Source organism: Homo sapiens, chromosome 6 (assembly GCF_000001405.40).
Source record: "Homo sapiens chromosome 6, GRCh38.p14 Primary Assembly".
Lineage (NCBI taxonomy): Eukaryota > Metazoa > Chordata > Mammalia > Primates > Hominidae > Homo > Homo sapiens.
This window is the reverse complement of record NC_000006.12, coordinates 47,581,327-47,605,354: the sequence shown is the minus strand read 5'-3', so window position 1 is coordinate 47,605,354 and position 24,028 is coordinate 47,581,327. Positions and strand designations below refer to the sequence as shown.

The window sequence follows — 24,028 nt, the reverse complement described above, 5'->3', positions numbered from 1 at the left end:
TTGCTAAAGGAAATTTCTTTAACTCTAAAGCCCAGATATCTATATATGAATCAAGAACCCAAAAGGTAAACTGCTACAGATACTTCCATTTTTAATATAACCTTCCTTTACCCCAGATTCCAAACTCAGAATATTAACCACAGCCAAAATGTTCTAACTAATAGCAGATTCCTTTGGTCTAATCGTCCAGATCTGTATTAATTCTTCACATTACCATCTGCCTAGATGTTTATAATACTTTCTGTCAGATATTTATATGTTCTAACTCAGTTATTTGTTTCTTTAAAAAGATCTAAAGATACTCATCATCACTGCCCACAAAACTTATTCATCAACTTATTTAGAAAATGCTTTTAAGGGATGGAGGACACAAAGGTAAGGCAGAAAAAAAGGCATCACTGTTCGGTAATATGCATTTTATAACAACTAGAATAATTTGCTGATAATTTTTTCTAGCAATTTCTTTGTGTGTTCTCACTTGTATCAACTAAGCTGATTCATTAAAACAGATACTCTAATATGCTTGATTTTTGTTTTGAGTCTTTTGATAATTGTAAATAATCATGAAATATAACAAACCATAATAATAAATGACAATGAAAAATGCATTATATAATCTGAAGGCGGTTGAATTTAAATATATGTTTAAATGTCATGTTATTTGTAAATATCACAAAGAAAGCAATCAGTATTTTTAAAAGATGTTAAAATATGTCGTAATTTGAAGGGTGAAAATTGCTTTTACACTGATGTGTGCATTAACAACCCACAAAGAAAAAACCTTAACAAGTACAATCCAATCATTTTAGCCTGTAGAGATTATTTTCAAATGCATATTTAAGCAACTTGCAGAAAGAAAAAGAAACAGAAAAACACAGGAAAAGACAAAGAAAAATGAAACTGAAAGGGTAAATAAAACATAGATTTACAAAATTATACACCATGCTCATGTAAAATGTCTTCTGTATGTCCAGTTTTGAACTATGACACCAAGACAAGTAACTTTACTATTCTAAAACTCTCTCAGGTTCTCCATTTAAGCCATTAGGTTAGTAAAATGGAACAGTGCACATTTTGGACTCATGACATATCTAAATGCTTTTAAATTTACCTAAGAGGGATAACAATGGATTTACACTGTACACGTGGCATAACAGGCACGACAATCATTTAGCTTTTGCAATCACATTGTCACTCTGCCAGCCACTTACAATCTGCACGTTGCTAGGAACACATAAAATTTTTAAAAAGCAAAATGAAATATCCAATTTGGAGAGAAAATAAACTGATTTTTATGGTTGCCAATTTTCTTAAAAAATATTATCAAAAGAATATTTTAAACGAATCAGGAAACTTTTCCAAAATGAATTTCATTGTATCTAAAAATGGAAAACCAAAAGGGTTAGAATAAATAGACAGACAGACATGTACACTTTCAGTAAAATTACAAAGAAAAATCAATGTGCACCACCTATTTATATTGAAAATACTATTTTGATTGCTTTATAAACTTTCATCTTACCAAAATGGAGAAGGGTAGAATAATTTCCTGACACGTAAGAAGGGAAACATGGCAAACAGGCTAGGAAACAAAATCTGGAAAGAAAAGTCAAGGATAGGAATGTCTAGAAAAAAGACTAAACCAAAATAATTATTTTACAAAACAGGAAAAAAGAACAGCTGTAGAATGAATAAAACCATTTCAATGTTTGGCATATAACTATTTGCAGGTTATCTAACTTACACAAGATGTATATTAGGTTTTAGGTTTATTCCTTTGTCTTTCAAAGGGAAAAATTAATATTAGTATTAATTTCAATATGCATTAAGCCAGAAAGTCCTGTTTTATTACTCACTGAACACCAAGACAGTTTCCAAAAGGATGGCTTGGTGCTTTAAGAGGCCAGAGTAATAAATCAGCATGTTGACATCTCATAATGTAGTTATAACTAAATCAACTTTTAGTCAAGTTTTAGTCTTTAGCCCATGATAGAAATTACAACGATGAAAAGCAATTTTAATTCTGTGGTATCAAAGAAGAAAAATATGTTAAATATTACTTTAAAATATCTCACTATAAAAATATGACTCAATACTATCTTTAAAATATTTCATACATAAATAAAAATTCACTAATGCCTTATATGGTACTTACAAGTCTTTAATATGGTATGATCAAGGAAACTATTAGAAACTAAATTTTTTTAAATTCTAGTTTAGATATAGGCTCACTTTTTATAGTATATGCTACTCAACAGGTACCTATTAGAAAAATTCCACCATAAATTATTTCTGGAAGAAATGAGAAATATTGGAAAAGTAATTTTTAAAAAATAGATCAACTACCAAATATCAAATAAACTTGAAGAAAAACAAATGTGTTTCCTTATTCAACAATGAATGCTTCCATCGAATAATGTGTTTCTTTAAAATTGCTTTTTTTTTGTTTATTTTTGAGACAGGGTCTCACTTTATCACCCAGGCTGGAGAGCAATGGCATGATCAAGGCTCACTACAACCTCCAACTCTCAGCTTTAAGAAACCCTCTCACCTCAGCCTCCCTCCCTAGTAGCTACACCATGGGACTACAGGTGCACACCATCATGCCCAGCTTTTTTTTTTTTTTCTGTAGAGACACGGTCTCACTATGTTACCCAGGCTAGTCTCACTATGCTGCCCAGGCTAGTCTCTAACTCCTGGATGCAAGCAATCTTCCTGCTTTGGCCTCCTAAAGTGCTGTGATCACAGGCATGAAATTGCCTTTTAATCATAGAAAATCTTATCACAGAAAAACAATACTACACTGTAAGGAAACTTCATCAGTTGGGCTTTCTTAATATAACAGCTATGTTACTATAAAATTTTCTATCTTACATTTTAAAACTAAGTTAAAGATAATTTTACTTTTCAGATAATGTATGATTTTAGAAATATGTGGACCACACAAGCTTTATTATTAATTAGTAGTGGCACTGAGATTTTCCTTAAACCAATTTTTGAGGAAGTGTTTGTAATAGAGAAAAAAAATTGTAAGCATGGTTCTTAACAGCTCTGATATTTATAAAACTACATTATATATGAGAATATATATGAAGAAGCTAAAAAGTTATGTCATGTCATTAAAAAAAGAAAATCTGAGTGTTCTGTATATGTCTTTCTTACATGTACAAAAGTCAGTCTGCATTTATATACATAGTTTATATATACACATAAACGTTTACATATGACTTTATAAATAAGAAAATCATATCTGTGAACAAAGTCAGGGATTTATATCCTTTATAGATTAGAACAAAAACAAAATGGGATGGGTTTAAAACAATGGAGGAGGGAGGAAAGAAGGAAAAATAACATTTGTAATAACTTCCATGTCAGGTATTCCAGCAGACATATACATGTACTAAATCATTCCATTGTTAGTTAAGGGAAAAAACATTAAGAAACTTACTATCAGCAATCAACTAGTAAATAAAACCCCTTTTATTAACAGCAAAGTCAGTGTACTTTCTATTATTTAACCTCAAATTATTACGTTGCCTAATAATGAAATTTTCAATAAGTTTTTCATGTATGTTTTCAACTTTCTAAAACATATTAAAAAGGCTAGTTTCACACATTATATTTGAGGCTGTATTTGAGCCAAAATACTTTTTTTGAAGTATTAACATCACAGAAGAGGTAGAACACTTTTATATTACTAATACTAGGAACATATGATCGTCTAATTTAAAAAGGTAGCAGGAATCTCTGAATTAATGCTTACGACATACACTACTGACTTCCATCAATTATGCCTTTTATCTTAGCATGCAACTGTGCCTAAAACACGACTGAGGATATAAAACCTGCTCAGTGAATAATCTGACAGTTAACATGAACTAAATTCCCAACATCTGTATTTTCTGAACTTTACAGGGCCTAAGTATAGTACACCAAAGGTAGTATAATTAAGTGGAAGGAATAAAGAACAGCAGCCTGAAAGTAGCTGTTAGTTTTCTGACTTGGCTAAGTCTCAGCATCTCTAGATTATTTCCTTATTTATTGAAAGAAAAGAACAAATCAGAAATAAGATGTTTTCACACCCTGTTCCACAAAGTCTCTGTTTACTATATAGGGAGTAAATAACAGCTATGTATAAAAGATAGAAATAGGGTCCCCCAAACCAAGTAAAAACAGAACTTTCCAATCATCAATAGTTTGAAATTATTACATATATTATTTTTACTAGAAATATGGCAGTGTGTTGTGACACTATATAGGAAAAGTTTCGAAAAAAAGAAAATGTTGTAATTTACCTAAATTTTAAAAAAAATTCCATTACTTTGACATAAACTAAGTAAAACATTCAAGATGAATACAAAGCAAGATGTGGATTCCAGATTTTACTCCTTCAATTCCCAAAGGGACTCCATCAACATTTAAAGACTTATGTGATAAAGATCCCCCAAATTTGTGAAAATTTAAAATATAGTTGCAATAACTTTTTTGTTTCCAGAGTTAAAATTGGGCAAATAATCTGCTTTTCTTCAACTATAACCTATGAAACACATTTCTAGCTATATTTTAAATCAAACAGAAAACAATATGAACTGATCAAATTCTATTTACTGATAAGCTCAATAAAAAAGAATGATTTTTTAAAACATGAGGATTCTTTTTCTGTTTATCAAACAATTAATAAGGATAATTTTCACCATATAAAACATACCGAATAAATTTCAATGAGTTTCTCTAAAATACAATCAACATTTCAATTCCCAGAAATTAGTAGTAAATATAGCTTCATCCATAACAAGGGGAATCCAACTCTGACAAAAGGATCTATAAGATGTTCAAATAAAAAGACTGAAAGGAGGCCACACTTTAAGTCAGAAACTTTGCATTCGCAAACTGAAAGAGGGAAGAATAAGGTCACCTGAAAAACCCTGAAATGTAATAGCATATTTTATAATAAGGTAATAAAAAACATCTAAGTGTAACTGCCCTTGAACTTTAAATGTAAACATGAAATGTGAACAATGAAGCTAGAAAAATTAGAATATTAAGATTTCTTAAAAGAATATCACAGTAAAAATGAAAATTTAGAGTTCTCCTTTGATTTATGTGATAGTGCTTATTTAATGTGTCTGTAGCTTACTTTGTTTAGACACCAAATAGGAAAAAAAAGCATCTGCTTCCTAGAGTTAAACTAAGAACATACATGAGAAAGTGCTTTGAAAAAGTCAAAAAAACTAAACACAAATGCAAAAAGCACTACACAAAATATTAACAATTACCAGAAAGTAATGAAGGCACAATGCCTTTAATAATGAAAACTATCAAGAGTTCTCCGTTTCAAGTTTTACATTTTACAAATAATAATAGGTATTAAAAAAAAAACAGGAAGTACAGATTAGACAAAGATATCAGTAAGCTGAAAAACCAGTCCTAAAGCTTAAAAAAAAATTAGCAAAAGGGTTAGAAAAAGCATATTTTCCTCCACTGGAAATAAAAGTATCTCTAGATTAAGAGGAGAAATTTAAAGTCCTATGAAATATAATCTAATGCTGGCACTGAAAGTCTATGTCATCTCATTTTTAAACTTTTAAAACTAAAGTGTATTCATATCTCCGTTGGGTAGTACAGTCATTCCACTATAAAGAGGGAGTAATAGATGGGTCATCTTTTAACATCTATTTCAGTCCTCTGATCAGTAAGAAACCATAAAGTCTGATCAGTAAGGACCATAAAAATTTTACTTATCTTCTTTTATTATTTCTACTTTGGCTGCTAAATTTTAAACAAATTTCAACTGTGTAATTTCAACTTTATCCAACTTTATCCACACACAAATTGCATAAATATATCTCTTAAAGAGTTTCTTTGACAATTTTTTTTTTTAAATGCACCACCGCTGTCCATGCTGACTTACCTGTTTCTTTGGAGGTCCTTACTGTAAGTGAATCAAAGTCTACTGATTTTGGTCTAAGGGGCAGCTGTTCAGAATCTAGCTTTAGTTTTGATACTGGCTCAGTTTCAAATTTTGATGAAATGCTAGAAACTTCCCCATTAATCCTGAAATAAGAAAAAAACACGCAAAAATCACTAGTATGAAACACGACTTTTTTTTAAATTGTGATTTAATGACATTAAAGATTGTATGGCCTAATACCGATTACTTTCTGTTCTGTAAAACCATTTCCATAAACGCAAAACTCTCTCCTAAGGCTGATCACAATAAAATAAAAAATGTGAGAACAGTTTAGTTAAGTGTAGAAAATTATTATAACATAAAATTAACATTCAACAGATATTAGTATACAGAAAATATTAAAAATAATACTTAAAAATTAAATTGCAACAATAGAAGGACAACTCTGGAAGGTAAGCAACAGTGAGAGCTAAATCAAAATGTACAGAATGCTCCTGTATTTTTTTTTAAATTTTTTTTATTATTTTAGATTATTTTTTATTTCAACAGGTTTTTGAGAAACAGGTGGCATTTGGTTACATGAATAAGCTCTTTAGTGGTGATTTCTAAGATTCTGGTGCACCCACCACCCGAGCAGTGCACACTGTACCCAATGTGCAGTCTTTTATCCTTCACTCCCCTCCCACCCTTTCCCCTCAAGTCTCCAAAGTCCACTGTATCATTCTCATGCTTTTGTGTCCTCACAGCTTAGCTCCCACATATTAGGGAGAACGTACAATGTTTGATTTTCCATTCCTAAGTTACTTCACTTGAATAAGAGTCTCCAATTCCATCCAGGTTGCTGTGAATGCCATTTTTTCCATCTTTTTTACGGCTGAGTAGTATTCCATGGTATATATATATACCACAATTTCTTTATTCACTCGTTGATTCATGGGCATCTGGGCTGGTTCCATACTTTGCAATTGCGAATTGTGCTGCTATAAACATGCATGTGCAAGTTATCTTTTTCATATAATAACTTATTTTCCTCTGGGTAGATACCCAGTAGTGGGATTGCTGGATCAAATGGTAGATCTGCTTTTAGTTCTTTAAGGAATCTCCACACTGCTTTCCATAGTGGTTCTACTAGTTTACATTCCCACCAGCAGTGTACAAGTGTTCCCTTTTCACTGCATCCATGCTAACATCTATTATTTTTTGATTTTTTGATTTATGGCCATTCTTGCAGAAGTGAGGTGGTATCACATTGCGGTTTTGATTTGTATTCCCTGGTAACTAGTGACTTTGAGCATTTTTCCATATGCTTGTTGGCCATTTGTATATCTTCTTTTGAGAACTGTCTATTCATGTACTTAGTCCAGTTTCTGATGGGATTGTTTCTTTCTTGCTTTTAAAGTTTATTGGTGATGTTTTAAAAAGGGCTGTGACTTAGGAAGGCTGTGGCAGGAGACTAAATGGGCTGCCATTCCTTGACTACTGCTGCATGTGGTAAGAAGAGACACCACTGGGTCCCTTCACTGTCCTGGGTGGGTGGGGCCCACTGCACCCTGGAGTCCTCCTTTGAAAGAGGAAATCTTTCCAGGATTATCACCCAGGCCAACTTTATTCCAGACAGCCATCTCTGCAGCCTCGACAGTCCCAAACTCCACGACACCAGTACCTGCCTTCTTACTCAAAAGCACCAGGTTGAGAATTCCACCATACTTTTGCAAAAGCCACAGGAGGACACCTTTGGAGTAACTGCCTTCTGACTCATCCTTCTTGTACTTCCATTTCAGTTTTAGTTTTGGGTTCCTTTGTCTTCAGTATTTTCTGACTTCTAATCTCAAGTCAAGTTCCTGGCACATCTGCTCCTGGATCATCATCTGCTGTTCCTCCAGCTGCCATGAACACTATTCACTAAGATGTTCAATCTCCTGCTCAAGTGTCCTGGTGCTCTAGCTTTCCTCCACCTTCTCACTCACCTGGGCCTGGGCCTCAGGTCATGATTAGCTTTTTTTATTCTCTCATCAAGCCTCTGGGTCCTCTATGCTGTCTGCTTCTTGGCTTTTCTAACATCATCATATGCAGCCCTGGCTGCAGCAAGGCCTGAGAAAGCTAGTGGAGGAGTTCAGCTGCTCTGTGATTATCCAACTTGTCTGGGTGGCAGGAGAGGGCCTTCTACCTATAAGCCTCCTTCACCTCTTCGTCTGCTGCTTTCTCCATGATGCCTAGCAGCACAAACAGGTCCATCTCTAAGAGCCCTTGGTTTGCCATGGTTCCAACCCTGACTGGATTTGTACTATAATTCCCCCAAGTGTTTTAAGCATGCATGAGGACTGTTGGCACAGCCAACAGAATAGTGCTTAGCACCCTGGGAATTTACTGATGCATTTTAATAACCAAAGCTCCAATAAAATTCCCAGAACCTGCCTGTGATCTTTGTTTACATATCCAGCTTTCAACATGTTTATATTCTTCTTGGATGTTATTTACAACATTAAAATAAACTTTAACTTTTCAAAAAGATAAAAGATAATAAGTGTTGGTGAGCATCTTAAGGAAAGGGAACCCTTGCACACTGCTGGTAGGAATGTAAATTCCCACAGCCATTATGGAAAACAGTACAAAGGTCCCTCGAGAAATTAAAAAGATAATTATCATATGATCTAGCAATTCCATTACTGGGTCCATATCCAAAGGAAATAAAATCAATATGTCAAAGAAATATATGCATTCCCATGTTTACTACAGCACTATTCACAACAGCCAAAATATGGAAGCAACCTAAAGTATCAATGGATGAATGAATAAAGAAAATGTGGCATATATACACAAAGAATACCATTCAGCCATAAAAAAAGAAAGCAAGCCTGCCATTTGCAACATCATCGACGAATCTGGAGGATGTTAAGTCAAATAAGCCAGGCACAGAAAGACAAATACCACATGTTCTCCACTCAAATGTGAAGTCTAAAAAAGTTGATCCCATAGAAATAGAGTAGAATGGTGATTACCAGAGCCTGAAGTGGTTGTGAGTTGGAGGGGAGTGGGAAGATGTGGTCAAGGAATACATACGGTTAGATAGAGGGAATAAGTTTTAAGAAATCCATTGTACATTTTAGTGACTGCAGTTAATGTGATGTACCGCATTCTTTAAAAATGCTAAGAGTGAATGTTAAGTGTTCTCATCATAAAAATGTTAACTATGTGAGGTTATCACAGTTACCGAAGCCATTCCACAATGAATTATATATACGCTTTAAAACATCATGTTGTATACAATAAATACACACAATTGTATATGTCAATTTTAAAAATAAATATAACTGAAAAATAAGAAAAAACATACCTGGAGATTTAGAAAGGCAATAGAGCCATTAAGGTCAAAGGTGAGTAAATCAGTAAGCTAATTTAAAATTAGGTAAAACTTACTTGGCTATAGGAGGTGGTGGAGGAACTGGTTTTTCAGGTCGCTTTGGGTACACTGTTCCAGAAGATCTCAGTAAATTACTGGCTTTGGTAGGTGGAGTAGGTTTCTTGGGTGGGACTTGTGGAGCTGCTGGTTTAGAAGGTTTCTGTTCCAGTGTTGATTTTTCATCTAAGATTTAAAATATTTCACAAGTTATTAACAATCAAAATTATTTAGGTTTTTCTATTTCCAAAAGTTTGTATCAGGCTGGAAAAGTGTGACAGAGGCAGACATGAACTTTCATTCTCTGTATTTGTATACATGTGCACTGTTTTACTTATTTTAAAGTTATATTTTAATTTAATAATCCTAAATAACTTTAAAAAATGTTTATTATGGTAGAGAGGAAAACCACTAATAAGCTTCCGATTAGTAGATAATGCCTGCTTTTTATTATGTTCCCAGGAAGCTTTGCTTTTAAGTGTAGTAGTCTATCTCAAATACAACCACACATGATTTTACTCTAACCAGAAAATTATCTAGACTTAAATCCAGACTATTTTCTGAAACTGAAATATAGAGAACTAAAAACAAGTAGAAACTCAAGTCCTATATAACATTCAAATTTAAAAAGCATGATGGTGAAGGAAAAAAAAATCAAATGTTAAGAGAAACTAGGGCAAGACTGCTTAGCCACAGACGAGAGAATTATAGGCTTATATTTGTAATTCTTAGTACTGCACTAAGAATTTTATTAATACCATTTCATTTAATAATGCAATGAAATGGGTATTTCCATTTGAAGTAGAAGAAAATAAGCTGGAAAAAAACAATTTTGACAATTTTATACTATGTCAATAAAGACAATTTTATCACCAAAAAGGCAACAAGTACTCTTTTATTACACATGACATACCTGCTTCCTGATCTTTCAGGTGCTCATAAATAGGTATTAAAATTGACACATGCATACATGAGATAGTCATAATACAGCAGTCAGCTAAAATGTGTCTTAAGACGTATATACAAAAATAAGAAGCTCCTAAGCACCATACTGAATAATTTTCAAAATTTATTTGGTCTTTGAAAAAAATGTCTATCACAAGACCACAAATAATTCTGTAAGATTTCATATCAACCAGAAACTGGTGATTATAAAACCTGAACATCGTAGCACATAGCTAAACCTCTTCCTTTTAAAAATTACAAGTCTTATTTCACAATGAATACAAAATACTATTTTCTCACTTTTACCACTTATTTAATACTTTGAATCATATGAAAATATAGCTTAGTCTATAAAATTCTGGTCATCATTTGGTACAAAAATCTATTTTTATATGGCCTCAAGATGTAACAATGTACTATATATAATTATACCACCAGGAATTTGTAAAAAACCAAACTCTCCAATTGAAATCAATAACGAAATAAAGCTATTTGTAGTTATAACAACCAGCCAAACTTAAATTTCTAGAAATTAAGAGATGTTTTATATAACATACCAAGAAAAATGGTCAAAGGATATAAATTAAAGAGAAGTTCACTGATTGAATATATTTATTTTAACAGAATACACAAATAACAGCTTGAAATTCTGTAGTGTTAGTCTAAAAAAAAGAATACATGGAAATCAAAAGGTAACAAAAATACGACTCATCATTCCTGGTTATGTCCATAACTAAATCAACTATAAGGTACTGACTTATTATATAACTACTATAAGATGGCAACATATTTATGTACTAGATTTTATTTTTTTAGTTGAGGTGACATTTACATAACACAAAATTAAAAATTCTAAAATGAACAATTCAGTGCCATTTAGTACATTCACGATGTTACGCAACCACCACCTTTATCTACTTCTAAAACACTTCCAACACCCCAGAAGATAACCCTTTCCTCATTAATTAGTTAACCCCTGGCAAACAGCAACCTGCCTTCTATCTTCTATGGATTTACCCATTTTGGATACTTCATACACATGGAATCATGCAATTATCTTTGTGTCTGGCTTCTTTCGCTTAGCCCAATGTTTTAGCAGTTTAGCCTCTTCATAACATATAGCAGTATTTCATTCCTTTTTGTGACTGAATAATATTCCATTAAACATACACACACACATATATAAAACACAATCTGTTTACCCATTGAGGATTCCTTCTACCTTTTGCCTACTGTAAATAGTGCTGCTATGAATATTTACATACAATACACGAGAGTCTGTTGTCAATTCTCTTGGACGTTTGGAACTGCTGGGTCATATGGTAATTCCATGTTTAACTTTCTGAAGAACCACCTAACTGCTTTTCATAGTAGCTAAAACATTTTCTATTTGCACCAGTAATGTATAAAAGTCCAATTTCTCCACATCCTTGCAAACATTTATTACTTATTTTCCTTTCTTAAAAAAATTTTTAACCATCTCAGTGGGTGTGAAGTGGTGCTCGCTGTGGTTTTGATTTGCATTTCCCTAAAGACTAATGATATTAAACATCTTGTCAAGTGCTTACTGACATGATTAATGATGTTAAACATCTTTTCAAGTGCTTATATAACAAGCATGCTTATAAACATGCTTGTTATAAAAAACAAAACTTATATATCTCCTTTAGATAAATACCTATTTCAGCCTGTGCTGCAGTTTTAAACAGGTTTGTCTTTTTGTTGTTAAGTTGTAACAGTCCTTTACATATTCCAGATACTTGCAAATCTCATAAGATTTCTCCCATTTTGTAAGTTGTCTTTTTACTTTCTTAATGTCCTTTAATGCATATAAGTTTTTAATTTTGATAAAGTACAATTATTTTTTCTTTGGTTAAATATGCTTTTTGTGACATAGTCTAAAAAGAACAAAATACTTTTCTCTAGATTCATAACACTCTGAGACACCAAATGTGTGGGGATTTATTCCCACAACAACCAATTATCTGGCACCAGCTGAGTGTCCTATAATTTAATTCAATTCTGACACTGTCTTTCTGGGGTTAGCATCAGATCCCACAAGTTAAAGGCTCAGACCCACAAGACTGCTCCCACTTCAGATTCCAATCTCAAGTCCTGTCCTCTCGTACTTCTGATCAATTGGCTATAAATTGGGGATTCCCATGATCACTCCTTGGGTTTGATAACTTGTTAGAAGAGCTCACAGAACTCAGGAAGGCACTTTACTCACTGTTAACAGTTTATTATAAAGGATACAGCTCAGAACAGCCAAATGGAACACATGCAAAAGGCAAGGTATGCAGGAAGAGATGCAGAGTTTCCGTAACTTCTCCAGGTGTACCACCTTCCTATCCCCTCAATGTGTTCACAAACCCATGAGCTCTCTAAACTCTGTTGTTTAGGGTTTTTAATGAAAGCTAAACATTTGGTTGGTTCCCCTGGCAACAAGGCCCCTCCCCATCCTTAGGGACTTTACAAAAGCCTCCTCATTAATATAAACTCAGACGTGGTTGAAAGATGCTTGTTATAAATAACAAAAGATGTTCCTCTCACCTTTATCACTCAGGAAATTTCAAGGGTTTTAGGAGCTATGGTGCCAGGAACCAGGGACAAATATTAAATGCACATTCCTTATTAGATCACAATATCACACGTATCTAAAAACCTATTGCCAAATCCAAGGCCATGAAGATTTACTCTTGTTTTCATCTAAGAGTTTTAACTCTTATATTTAAGGTCAATGATCCATTTTCAGTTACTTTTTGCTTACAGTGTGGGGTAGGGCTCCAACTTCATTCTTTTGAGAACATCCAGCTGTGAGTACTAGAATGTTAGTTCAGCTAAAAATTTGCCAAATCCAAGAGAAAATGTAGATTTAAGGAGAAAAAAAAAAGTTCTATGTTAGCTGCCTGAATGACCAAGGAAGAATTACATAAGGTACAGATATTATGATAATTTAAGACACAGGCTGGGTGCAGTGGCTCATGCCTTTAACCCAAACACTTTGGGAGGCTGAGATGGGGGCATCGCTTGAAGCCAGGAGTTCATGACAAGCCTGGGCAACAAATCAATACCCCCATATCTATAAAAGAAAAAAATAAATTAAAAAATTAGCCAGTTATGGTGACATGTACCTTTAGTCCCAGCTACTCTGGAGGCCGAGGTGAGAGAATCACCTGAGCCTAGGAGTTTGAGGTTGCAGTGGGCTATGACATCACTGCACTCCAGCCTGGGCAACAGAGTGAGACCCTGTCTCCAAGAAAGAAAATGAAATACAGAAAAGAGTTATCTCAGGTATATAATTTTTTTAACAAAAATGTCTAAAATGTATGCTAACAAAATACAACAAAATAACCAAAATATGTCCTTTTATTTGCTTCAGAATATAGCAATACATTACCAACACTGTACGTAATAAGTTAACCCATTTATTAATTCAGATGAGGGTCAATGTCCTACTGCATTAATTGAAATGGAAAAATAAGTGATAATATGGGCACCAAAACAGGAGTGATTCCAAGTGCATAAATTCTAATTTAAAAAAATCAAATATTCTATTCTTTGTGATCACTTGGAGATGCCTTAGAGAAAAAATGTACTACCTAAAAAGTAGTGAGTCTATTCTTAATTGAACCTATTTTCCTAACATTTTAGAAAATTTTAGGACAAAATATATTTATTCGTATTTATCTCACTGAAGTTTAAACTGCAGCATAACATTTTCAGAAATGGTAAGTATAAAGTTTGAGAAACTATTACCACATGAACATACCAGAGTAACCACCACATAGGCCAAGAACTGAACATGATCCACATCTCTGAAGTTACCCTTATCCTTCTTCCCAATCACTACCCCACCTGCTTCCACCCAAGCTGTCTTCTAACACCACAGATTATTTATGAATATTTTTAACTTTATGTCAACGAAATCCTAAGATTCATTTTGCTGTGTGTAGCTCTCGTTCATTTATTTGTTGCTACGTGGTAACATGGTATGTGAATATACCTCAACTCTTTTACCCATTCTTTTGCTGTTGAACATTTGTGCTGTTTCCAATGGCAACTTTGTTATAAATTTATAAACTTTGTTATAAATTGCACTGAATGTGCAGATTGCTTTGGGTAGTATGGAAGTTTTAACAATATTGATTCTTCCAATCCTTAAACATGGAATATTTTTCCATTTTTTTGTGTGTCTTCTTCAATTCCTTGCCTCAATGTTTTCTTTGCATATATCCAGGTTGGATTCCATAGTATTCTTGGTTTTGTGGCCTGATGCTTTTAATCACTTTTAGAAAATTGAAAAACATTGTATCTTCAAATACAGTTTCTGCTCCATTTTTTTCTCCCTCCTATCTGGTCCTCCAATTACATGTACATAAGACCTTCCCACTGTACAGTCATCCCTCTGTATATACAGAGGATTGGTGCTAAGATCCTCACGTATACCAAAAGCACACATACTCAAACCCGATGGTGAGCACTGTGGAACGTGCCTGCACAAAAGTTGGCTCTCCTCATATGCGGTTTTGTATTCTCACAAATACTGTATTTTTATTCCCCATTAGGCTGAAAAAAATCTGTGTATACGTGGACCCCATATAGTTCAAACTCATGTTGTTCAAGAGTCAACCATATTCTTTATGTCTCTTAAGGTCTTTTCCATATTTTCTATCTTTTTTGTCTCCTTATGTTTCAGTTCAGATATTTTCTTTTAAAAATATACACACATATATTAACATTTGTGTGTATATATTTATATATACTTATATATGTAAACAAATTCATTTAAGCTTAGACTGACTCATATTCATATATACTTACAAGGTTCTAGTTCTGTCAAAATTATCAACCCCATCTTTTATTACTTCTAACATTTATTAAGCACAGTTACTTTAAAGCTTATATCTAGTATCTCTAATATCTAGATCCCCTAAAGGCCAGGTTCCATTGTCTGTTGTTCTTGGTTTCTAGCCATGTGTCATATCTATCAGTATGCCTAATTATCTCTGAATGAGTACAAGACACAAAAGATTTACAGGAAAACATAGAGATAATTTAAAACTCTAGATGATGTCTTCTTCTCTAGACAATGAAGGTTTACTTTCATTCTTTCAGTAAGCTAAGGTAGGGATAGTAAAAATCCCAGGTCACCTTCCTCCCATCAAGAATTGAGATTATTAGAAGTTGAACTTCAGTGTTCCTCAGAGTTAGGTCTATTTCCATTTCATACTTCCTCCAACAGTAAATCCCTTTAGGAACTAAATCAAAACCTAGTTCACTAGGATACCTCCTCTTTCATGAGCTTTGAACTCTAATTTTTGTCTCCTTGAGCCCAAAAGTCTATCGAAAGTTCTTTTCATAGGCTAAGCTACCACTTTCAAGATTGGCAAATGCTCCAACAGGAAATATGAGCCCCAATGCCAGACTTTACTGGGCTCTCCTCTTCCCCTCTATCTTGATCTTATGATTCTTCATTTTATTTGTAGCTCTCCTACTTCTAGCAGATGACTCTGACAAATATATATATATATATGTGTGTGTGTGTGTATATATATGTGTACATATGTGTATATATGTGTGTACATACGTATGTGTATATATATGTGCACATACATATGTGTATATGTGTGTGTATATATGTATATATATTTGTGTGTGTGTATGTGTGTATATTTGTGTATATATATGTGTGTGTATATACATTTGTGTGTGTGTGTGTATATTCAAGAGTTCCTGGTCATCAAACAACTTCTTAAATGTATATATCCTGAGAAAGCTCTCTTCGCATTCTTACGCTAAGCAATCTTCTTGGACAATCTTACCCATACCTGTAAATTTAATACCTAACTTCCAGAATAGCACCTTCCAACTAAACACTTAATACAAACTCTTAGTAAAAGTTCAGCCAATATTTCGTATCAAATCCCATGTCAAAAGCTGAATTCACATGGTTTCCTCCAGAAACTGTCTCTATTCCATACTTCCTATCTCATTTCCCCATCGTCATAATCATTAGTATCTCATTAGTCAACAAGATGTCAAAGTAGAACCTAAATTGCATTCCTTATGATAGATCCTAAATATATCTCAAAGTCTTCAGCAGACAATGCAGTTGAGTCCTCCCAAATCAATCCTACTTTCATATGATTACACTGAGACAATCAGTAAATAGTATTCTTCTTATAAGTTTCATTGGTCTAGAGGTAAATGTGCTCAAAAGTGGTCCAAGAAACTGAAAGGACTTACATTCTATGGTTGGGGAGAGGTTTTCCTCTCTTTTCTGTCAAATGGACAAGAAATCATGTCGCCCTGATTGCCACTCTCAGCATTCTTGTGATCACAAGAGGAGACAGTCTGAAGATAAAGTGTACACTGAGGATGGCAGAATGGAAAGATATAATTCAGGTCCATAACAGAATCACTGAGTGGCAGGTCATATGACTCCTACTTCTAGACTTTCAATTATGTGAGATGTTTTCCCTATTGTTTAAGTCAGTTTCAATAAGGATTTTCTGTTCTTTGCTCTTGAAACACTTCAGCTTCCTTTTACCCATACCACCTTCCACTATCCACACCACCATTATCTAGCTAAATACCACTAGAAGGAAGTTTCAGAAAAACAAATGTAAACACGTCATAATCTGGAATCCTTCAGATTTTAAAGAATCCTTCATATTATATAATAAGTACTGCATTAAGTATTCCCTATGTATTATATACCTATTGTGTAACGCATTAGAGAACCAATGGCAAGTAAGGTACAGGTATCTATACACACACCTTTTCCCTCATGGAGTTTAACCAAGTGCAGGGTAAAGAATATCCCAAAACAAACATCTAAACTAATATGTAACAGACAATAATGAGAAATACCTACTTTTAAATAGTGTAGGTAAGGAAAATACTGTCAAGGAAGCAAAATTTTAAGCTGGAATCTAAAAGATGAGAAAAACCTGGCCATGAAAGATTCTGAGAGAAGTACAATTCCAGAGAAAGAAGGATGTCCCCTAAAAAAGTATGTATTTTAGACAGAAAGTATGAAATGCAAACAGATGGAACTGCAAACACACGGAAAGCAATAAATGTAAATAAATCCATCCACTGACTGGGAATCAGAAGTATACAAATGGTGGCTGAAGCCATGAGCCTACAATAATAGAATTCAGAAGGAAATGCTCCTAAAGCAAAAGTGAGCAGATTCACTGCTTCTACCAGTGAAAGTATAGAACCAGACTGGCCTTCAGCACCATTTTATGCTCTTTCTGTGGGTATGACTGTGTATGTGTGTATAGGAAGTGAGGAGGACATAAGATAAAAGTTACCATTTTAGTGATTTTATAAGAAACAGCACCTTTGTTACATTCTCTTCTACACATTTACATGCCTCCCTACTTGCATTCCAAAATAATTATGAGTTCCTCCCTTTGTATCATGAATTTCATACCAATGACATGATGAGTATCTTACTGAAAGATAAATACAAAAAAGGACATCTCAAAAAGCAGGATAACTTGTGCTTCAAAGTGGTAATATTATTACCATTCTGGGACACAGCTTGCCAGGATTTTAGGTACTTCTGGGAAAATGAAAACAACAGAGGGGCAGAGAACTGCTAAGCAGGTTTGAGAAAATCCACGTGGTGGCTTGGGACAGAAAGTAGAAAGTGAGAGTTTAATCACCTATCTAAACATTTGAGAAAATATCCCATGAAATAACGGGGAATCACTTAAGAGTCCAAAATAGAGGGGTGATCAGTTTCATGGTTTCTAAGTAGCTCTTTTCTGCGCCCCACATCTCTGACAGAACAGAGCTTTTCGAAGGATACCTTCCATGGAACCTAAGATCATGAGATAAAAACCATGAACACAAATACAAATGAAAAATGCTTTATTTCCTTGGTGGAAGGCTTAAGACGCTTCAAATTGGTCCTAGCCATGATTTGAAAATGCTCCCTCTCTCAACTATGGGAACAAGGGTAGAACTTTGATTTATGTTTACTGTTACTTAGTAAAAAATAATTTAACAATATTTAATATTCAACTGGCCCTCTCTGAATGCATGTGTCCAAAGGTCACTGGCAAAACACTGACATTTTTCTTATTCATGGTACCTGATCTATTAAAGGCATATCAGGTGTATGAGAACATTCTGAAAATACTTAGAATCATTTCCTTTGTTATGCCTTCTCTTGTTTAACCTATATACAAAAAAATTCTCATATCTACCCTAAAACTCCAAAACCAACACTTTATATTAAGTTTTCAAGTCATTCCAGTGAACAGTTCTTGTGAGATTTTTAAATGGAGGGAAAATGTCTTCTATATCTATTCACATATTTACTACTTCTGGCATTCTTCATTGCTTTGAGTAATACCAACTGCCAATCTAGTATCGTTTTCCTTCTACCAAAAGTAATTTTTTAACATTTTCTGTAATACAGTTCTACTGGCAATAAGTTCTCTGAGATTTTGTCTCAAAAGGTTTTAATTTTGACCCATTCCCAAAAGGTATTTTTGTTAGGTAGAAAACTATAGGTTGACAGTTATTTTCTTCCTGGCTTTAAGCTTTTTGTCATAAATTTGCATCAAATTAAAATTTTCAGCCATTATTTCTTTAAGTTTTTTCATGTCCCCATTCTCTCACCTTTCCATTAGGTACCCCAATTACAGGTAAGTAAAACCACTTGATATTGTCACTCAGGTAACCAATATTCTGTTCACTTTTTTTCTATACATTTTTAATGGTTCTATTTGCTATGTCTTCAAGTTCACTAACATTTTCTTCTGCAGTTTCCACTCTACTGGACATTCCATTCAGTGTTTCTCATTTCAGATACTGTATTATTCTTTTCTAAAGGTTCAATTTGGGTCTTTCTTATATTTTCCAGTTTTTGCACTGTAATGTTCACATTTTCTTCTACCTTTTTAAACACATGGGAAACGTTTATCATAGCTGTTTTAATGTACTTGCCTTCTATCTCCACCATCTCTGTCATTTCTTGCTCTTTTCTGCTGACTGATTTTTCTTCCCTGGTTGTGTATTGCTATTTTCTTGCTCTTTCTATGCCTGGCAATCTTTAATCAGACAATGGACGCCGTGATTTTTACTCTCTTGAATACAAAATTTCATTATATGCTTTTAAGTTGTACCAAATTTTATTCTGGAATTTGTTGGCCGTATTTCCAAGATAGAGGCAGAGAAACCTTTAGTCTAAGGTGATACACTGTTTTATGAACTCTATCCAATGTGCTATATATTATGAGATCTTTCTACTCTGGCTCATGGAAAAATGAACTGTTTGTGAGTTACAAAGAGTGCTTCACCTATTGCTTTCCAATGGTTATTTCTCCATTATGGAAATTTCTTTTCATGCATGTGTAGATCAATATTCAGGCAAAGCCTCACAGTAAGCTGTCTACAGATCTGAGTACTCGCTGTGCAGTTCCCACCACTCTGGCACTCTGCCCCACAAATTGTAGCTGCCCGGGCCTTCCTAAATACCTATCTCTGCATCCTCAACTCTGTAGGACATCGAGGTCTGTTTGGCTTCCTCCTTTCTGCTGCCTGTAAACTGCTTCTAGACAATAAGCTGTGGTAATTATAGGTCTCACTTCAGTGTCACAGTGACTTATACTGTCTGATGTCCGATATGTGAAAGCCACTGTTTCATACATTTTGTCCAATTTTCCAGTTGTTTAACTCAGGAGTGTAAATTCGGTCCCTGTCATTCCACCATGGGCAGGATTTTGCATAGATAAAAGTAACAAAAATGCATCACCTTCCTTTTTTTTTTTTTGAGACGGAGTCTTGCTCTGTCGCCCACGCTGGAGTGCAGTGGCGCAATATCGGCTCACTGCAAGCTCCGCCTCCCGAGTTCACGCCATTCTCCTGCCTCAGCCTCCTGAGTAGCTGGGACTACAGGCGCCCGCCGCTACACCCAGCTGGTTTTTTTTTTTTTATTTTATTTTTAGTAGAGACGGGGTTTCACCGTGTTAGCCAGGATGGTCTCAATGTCCTGACCTCATGATCCGCCCACCTCGGCCTCCCAAAGTGCTGGGATTACAGGCGTAAGACACCGCGCCCGGCCTCCAATTTATTTATAAGAACAACTGACTGATTTTAGGGAAAAGGGGAAGTCACTATCTGAATTTTAACAAAACTGCTGACTAACTGGTGACATGATTTTTTTTAATAGTAAAAAAATAGATAATAAAGCCAGCAATATACCTCTTACATGTGGTTCTACATATCTTGGTAAGCTGAGTTTTTCAGGTAGGACAGATATTATAAACAAGTACTAAAAACTGATCTAAGACTCCTACCTAACTAGTTCACAAAGAATTAATCTGAGACTAATATTTTTATTAAGCATAAATTGTTTGTGCAGCATATTTTTAAAATTCTTAAGTATAAAAAAAGAATATAAAAAAACTTCCATTTTGAAAGTAAAACGAAAGATAAAGCTAGGAAAGTACATGACATATTTAGGGACTAGAGAGTGAGTGCTACATTTAGTAAACAAAAAGGGTGGAAGATGATATCAAAAATGTAATCGGGGGGTCAGTTAGTTACTGGAGGGCCTTGAATTTGAACTTTTGATTTTTATCTGAAAACTGAAAGTCTTTTCAACAAACGGTGTTGGATCAACTAGACATTCACATGCCAAAAAAAAAAAAAAATGAATCTAGACAATGACCTTACAACTTTCACAAAAATTAACTCAAAATGAATCACAAACCTAAATGTAAAACACAAAACTATAAAATTCCTAGAAGATTACACAGGAGAAAATCCAGATGACCTTGGGTATGGCAATGACTTTTTAGATACAACACCAAAGCCATGATCCATAAAAGAAGTAATTGATAAGCTTCAATCAAATTTAAAACTTCTGCTCTGTGAAGAAAACAAGTCAGACTGGGAGAAAATATTTGCAAAAGACATCTACTAAAGGATTGCTATACAAAATATACAAAGAAAGAAACTGAAGGAAAAAAAACCTGAATAAAAAATGAACAAAAGACCAGAACACTTTACCAAAGATATACAAATGACAATTAAGCATATGAGAAGATATTCAACATCATATATCATTACGGAATTGCAACTGAAAACAAAAGTAAAATACCACTACACACCTATTAGAAAGGCCAAAATCCAAAACACTTAAAATACCAAATGCTGGCTAGAACGTAGAACAGAAATTCTCACTGATTACTAGGGGGAGTACAAAATGGTTCAGCCACATTGGAAGAAGTTTGGCAGTTGCGCCTACAAAACTCAATATACTCTTGCCATATTATCAGGTAATCCCTCTCCTTGGTATTTACCCAAATGAATAGAAAATATGTCCACACAAAGACCTACACACATTTATAGCAGCTCCCCTTATAAGTGCCAAAACTTAGAAGCAATCACGATGTCCCTCAGTGAGTGAGTGGATTAATAAACTGTGGAATATAAAGACATTGAAATATTATTTGATGCTAACAACATATGCCTCCCAAGCCATGAAAACATACGGAGAAATTTTAAAGGCATATAATTAAGTGAAAGACGCCAATTTGAAAAGGCTACGTGCTGTATGATTCTAACTATATGACACTCTGGAAAAGGCAAAACTATGGAGTCATTAAAAAAATTAATGGTTGACAAGGGTTGAAGGGAAGGACAGATGAATAGGTAGAATAAAGAAGGTTTTTAGAGTAGTAATGCTATTCTGTATGATACTACAATGGTGGATACAGGACATTATACATTTGTCAAAATCCATAATAGTTACAACACTAGGAGTGAACACTAAAGGAAACTATGGACTTTGAGTGATAAAGAAGTGTCAATGTAGGAAGGCTCACTGATTTTAACAAATATGCCACTCTGGTACAGAATGTTAACAGTGGGAAAAATTGTGCCTGTGTGAAGAAAGGAAGTATACAGGAACTCTGTACTTTTGGCTCAATTTTGCTGTGAACCTAAAACTGCTCTAAAAAACAGTCTCCTTAAAAAAATGATACTGGCCCAGGCACGGAGGCTCACACCTGTAATCCCAGCACTTTGGAAGGCAGAAGTGGGTGGATCACGAGGTCAGCAAATCGAGACCATCCTGGCTAACATGGTGAAACCCCGCCTCTACTAAAAAATACAAAAAATTAGCCGGGCGTGGTGGCGGGTGCCTGTAGTCCCAGCTACTCAGGAGGCTGAGGCAGGAGAATGGCATGAACCCAGGAGGCGGAGCTTGCAGTGAGCCGATATTGCGCCACTGCACTCCAGCCTGGGCCAGAGAGCGAGACAAAAAAAAAAAAACAAAACAAAAAAAAACAAAAAAAACATGATCCTGGCAACAACATGAAGTATGAGCCAGAAAAGGAGCTAAAGTGAGAGAAATCAAGTAAGAGGATACAATACTTTAGGCAAGAAACAAGGATGGATTAGACTACAACACTGGAGGAAGAAACAAAAAGCATTCTAAAATAGTATTCAAGTTTCTTGATGTATATAAACTAATCTACTAGTGACAATCATTGCAAATCTTTATGTGCAATGAGAAGGACTTATTTTCTCCAAATTCACAACAAACCAATAAGGTTTTTAGCAAAATACATGTGGTACCCTGGAATAACTTTCCAGGTTTACATTATGACAAACACATGCAGTGAGATTAAATAATATGTAATTAATTATTTTCATGCTTAAGTAGGAACTGGGTCTTCAACATTCTAAGGAATTTTTTAAAAACTGAAACACTATAAAAATAATAAAAGCATAGTTATTTAATGCTTAGTTTTCTTATACAGTCTGTGAAATAACTGAATAAAGACAACATCCTACTGAATAGTTTAATTTTTTAATGAATGTAAATTGTTATCTGTTTGAGAAATGAACTACTCCCTCCCAGAAAACTCCAAGCATTGTTAAATACATACTGAATACCTGTTAAAAATCAGTGTAAATAACTCAGTGTGGAGAAATAATTCTCTTTAAAATGACAATAAAAGAAATAATTGCTTTTTTGAAAGTTGAAAATTAGCCTCACCCTTTTCTTCAGGCTTTAAAGAAAAATATTTCTTCTCTGCAGCTATCAGTTCAGGCTTTGGAGCTATGGGAAAAAACATTAATACTTTTTTAAGAAGACAGTTTTAAAGCACAGAGACAATTACACTTCTAAAAAGTAAAGATGAGTTGAAAAATAACATCAGATGAAACCATGGTTTAATAGAAAGAACAATGTACCGGAATTACCAGGCTCAATTTCTAATCCTGGACCTGCCACTATTACCCTACTCTGTGGTCTCAGTTCCTTCTTTGTCAAATTTAGGTGTTAGAGATCATATCCTCTACCGTACTGCAGTATGGAAGAGCTGTGGTGATGAAAACATTCTATTTTTTCAGTATCCAACATGTGACTACTGAACACTTGAAATGGCACTCCTATGACTGAGAAACTGAATTTTTAAATTTTATTTAATCTTAAGTTTAAAAGCCACACATGGTTAGTGGCTACCACATTGAAGAGTAAAGCTATATAAAAAGCTTTCAACACCAACTTCTATAAAAATTACTTTTAACTTATGTTTTCTTTGCTCTAGGATTAGGTCAGCAAATATAAAGCTAAAACCAAGGGCGACAAAAAGACTTGAATTATTCTAAAAAAACAGCAAATCTTTTAGGAAATAGAAATTTTTATTACACTTGTAAAGATCAATTATTCGAAAATTATGGAAGCAAAGAGCCAGATTACAAAACTTTAACTCTTGAAGACACTTCTAGGTCTA

The 24,028-nt window shown here is 34.2% G+C and overlaps 1 protein-coding gene and 1 pseudogene across 4 annotated transcripts in view; both read right to left on the bottom strand.

Annotated features, from left to right (window-relative positions):
• The window catches only part of CD2AP (CD2 associated protein), a 149,475-nt gene that overhangs the window by 21,909 nt on the left and 103,538 nt on the right, over positions 1-24,028 (bottom strand). For 3 of the 4 annotated variants that reach the window (NM_012120.3, XM_005248976.2, XM_011514449.3), the window contains 3 exons: positions 23,290-23,352; positions 9,329-9,494; positions 5,912-6,054 (listed from right to left, as the gene is read on the bottom strand). In NM_012120.3, coding sequence (NP_036252.1) covers positions 5,912-6,054; positions 9,329-9,494; positions 23,290-23,352 — 372 coding nt within the window. Of the gene's footprint in view, positions 1-1,567; positions 1,597-5,911; positions 6,055-9,328; positions 9,495-23,289; positions 23,353-24,028 lie in introns of those variants that run through there. The other variant, XM_017010641.2, reaches the window with a different exon arrangement.
• Positions 7,412-8,198, bottom strand: LOC100421517 (DnaJ heat shock protein family (Hsp40) member C17 pseudogene; annotated as a pseudogene).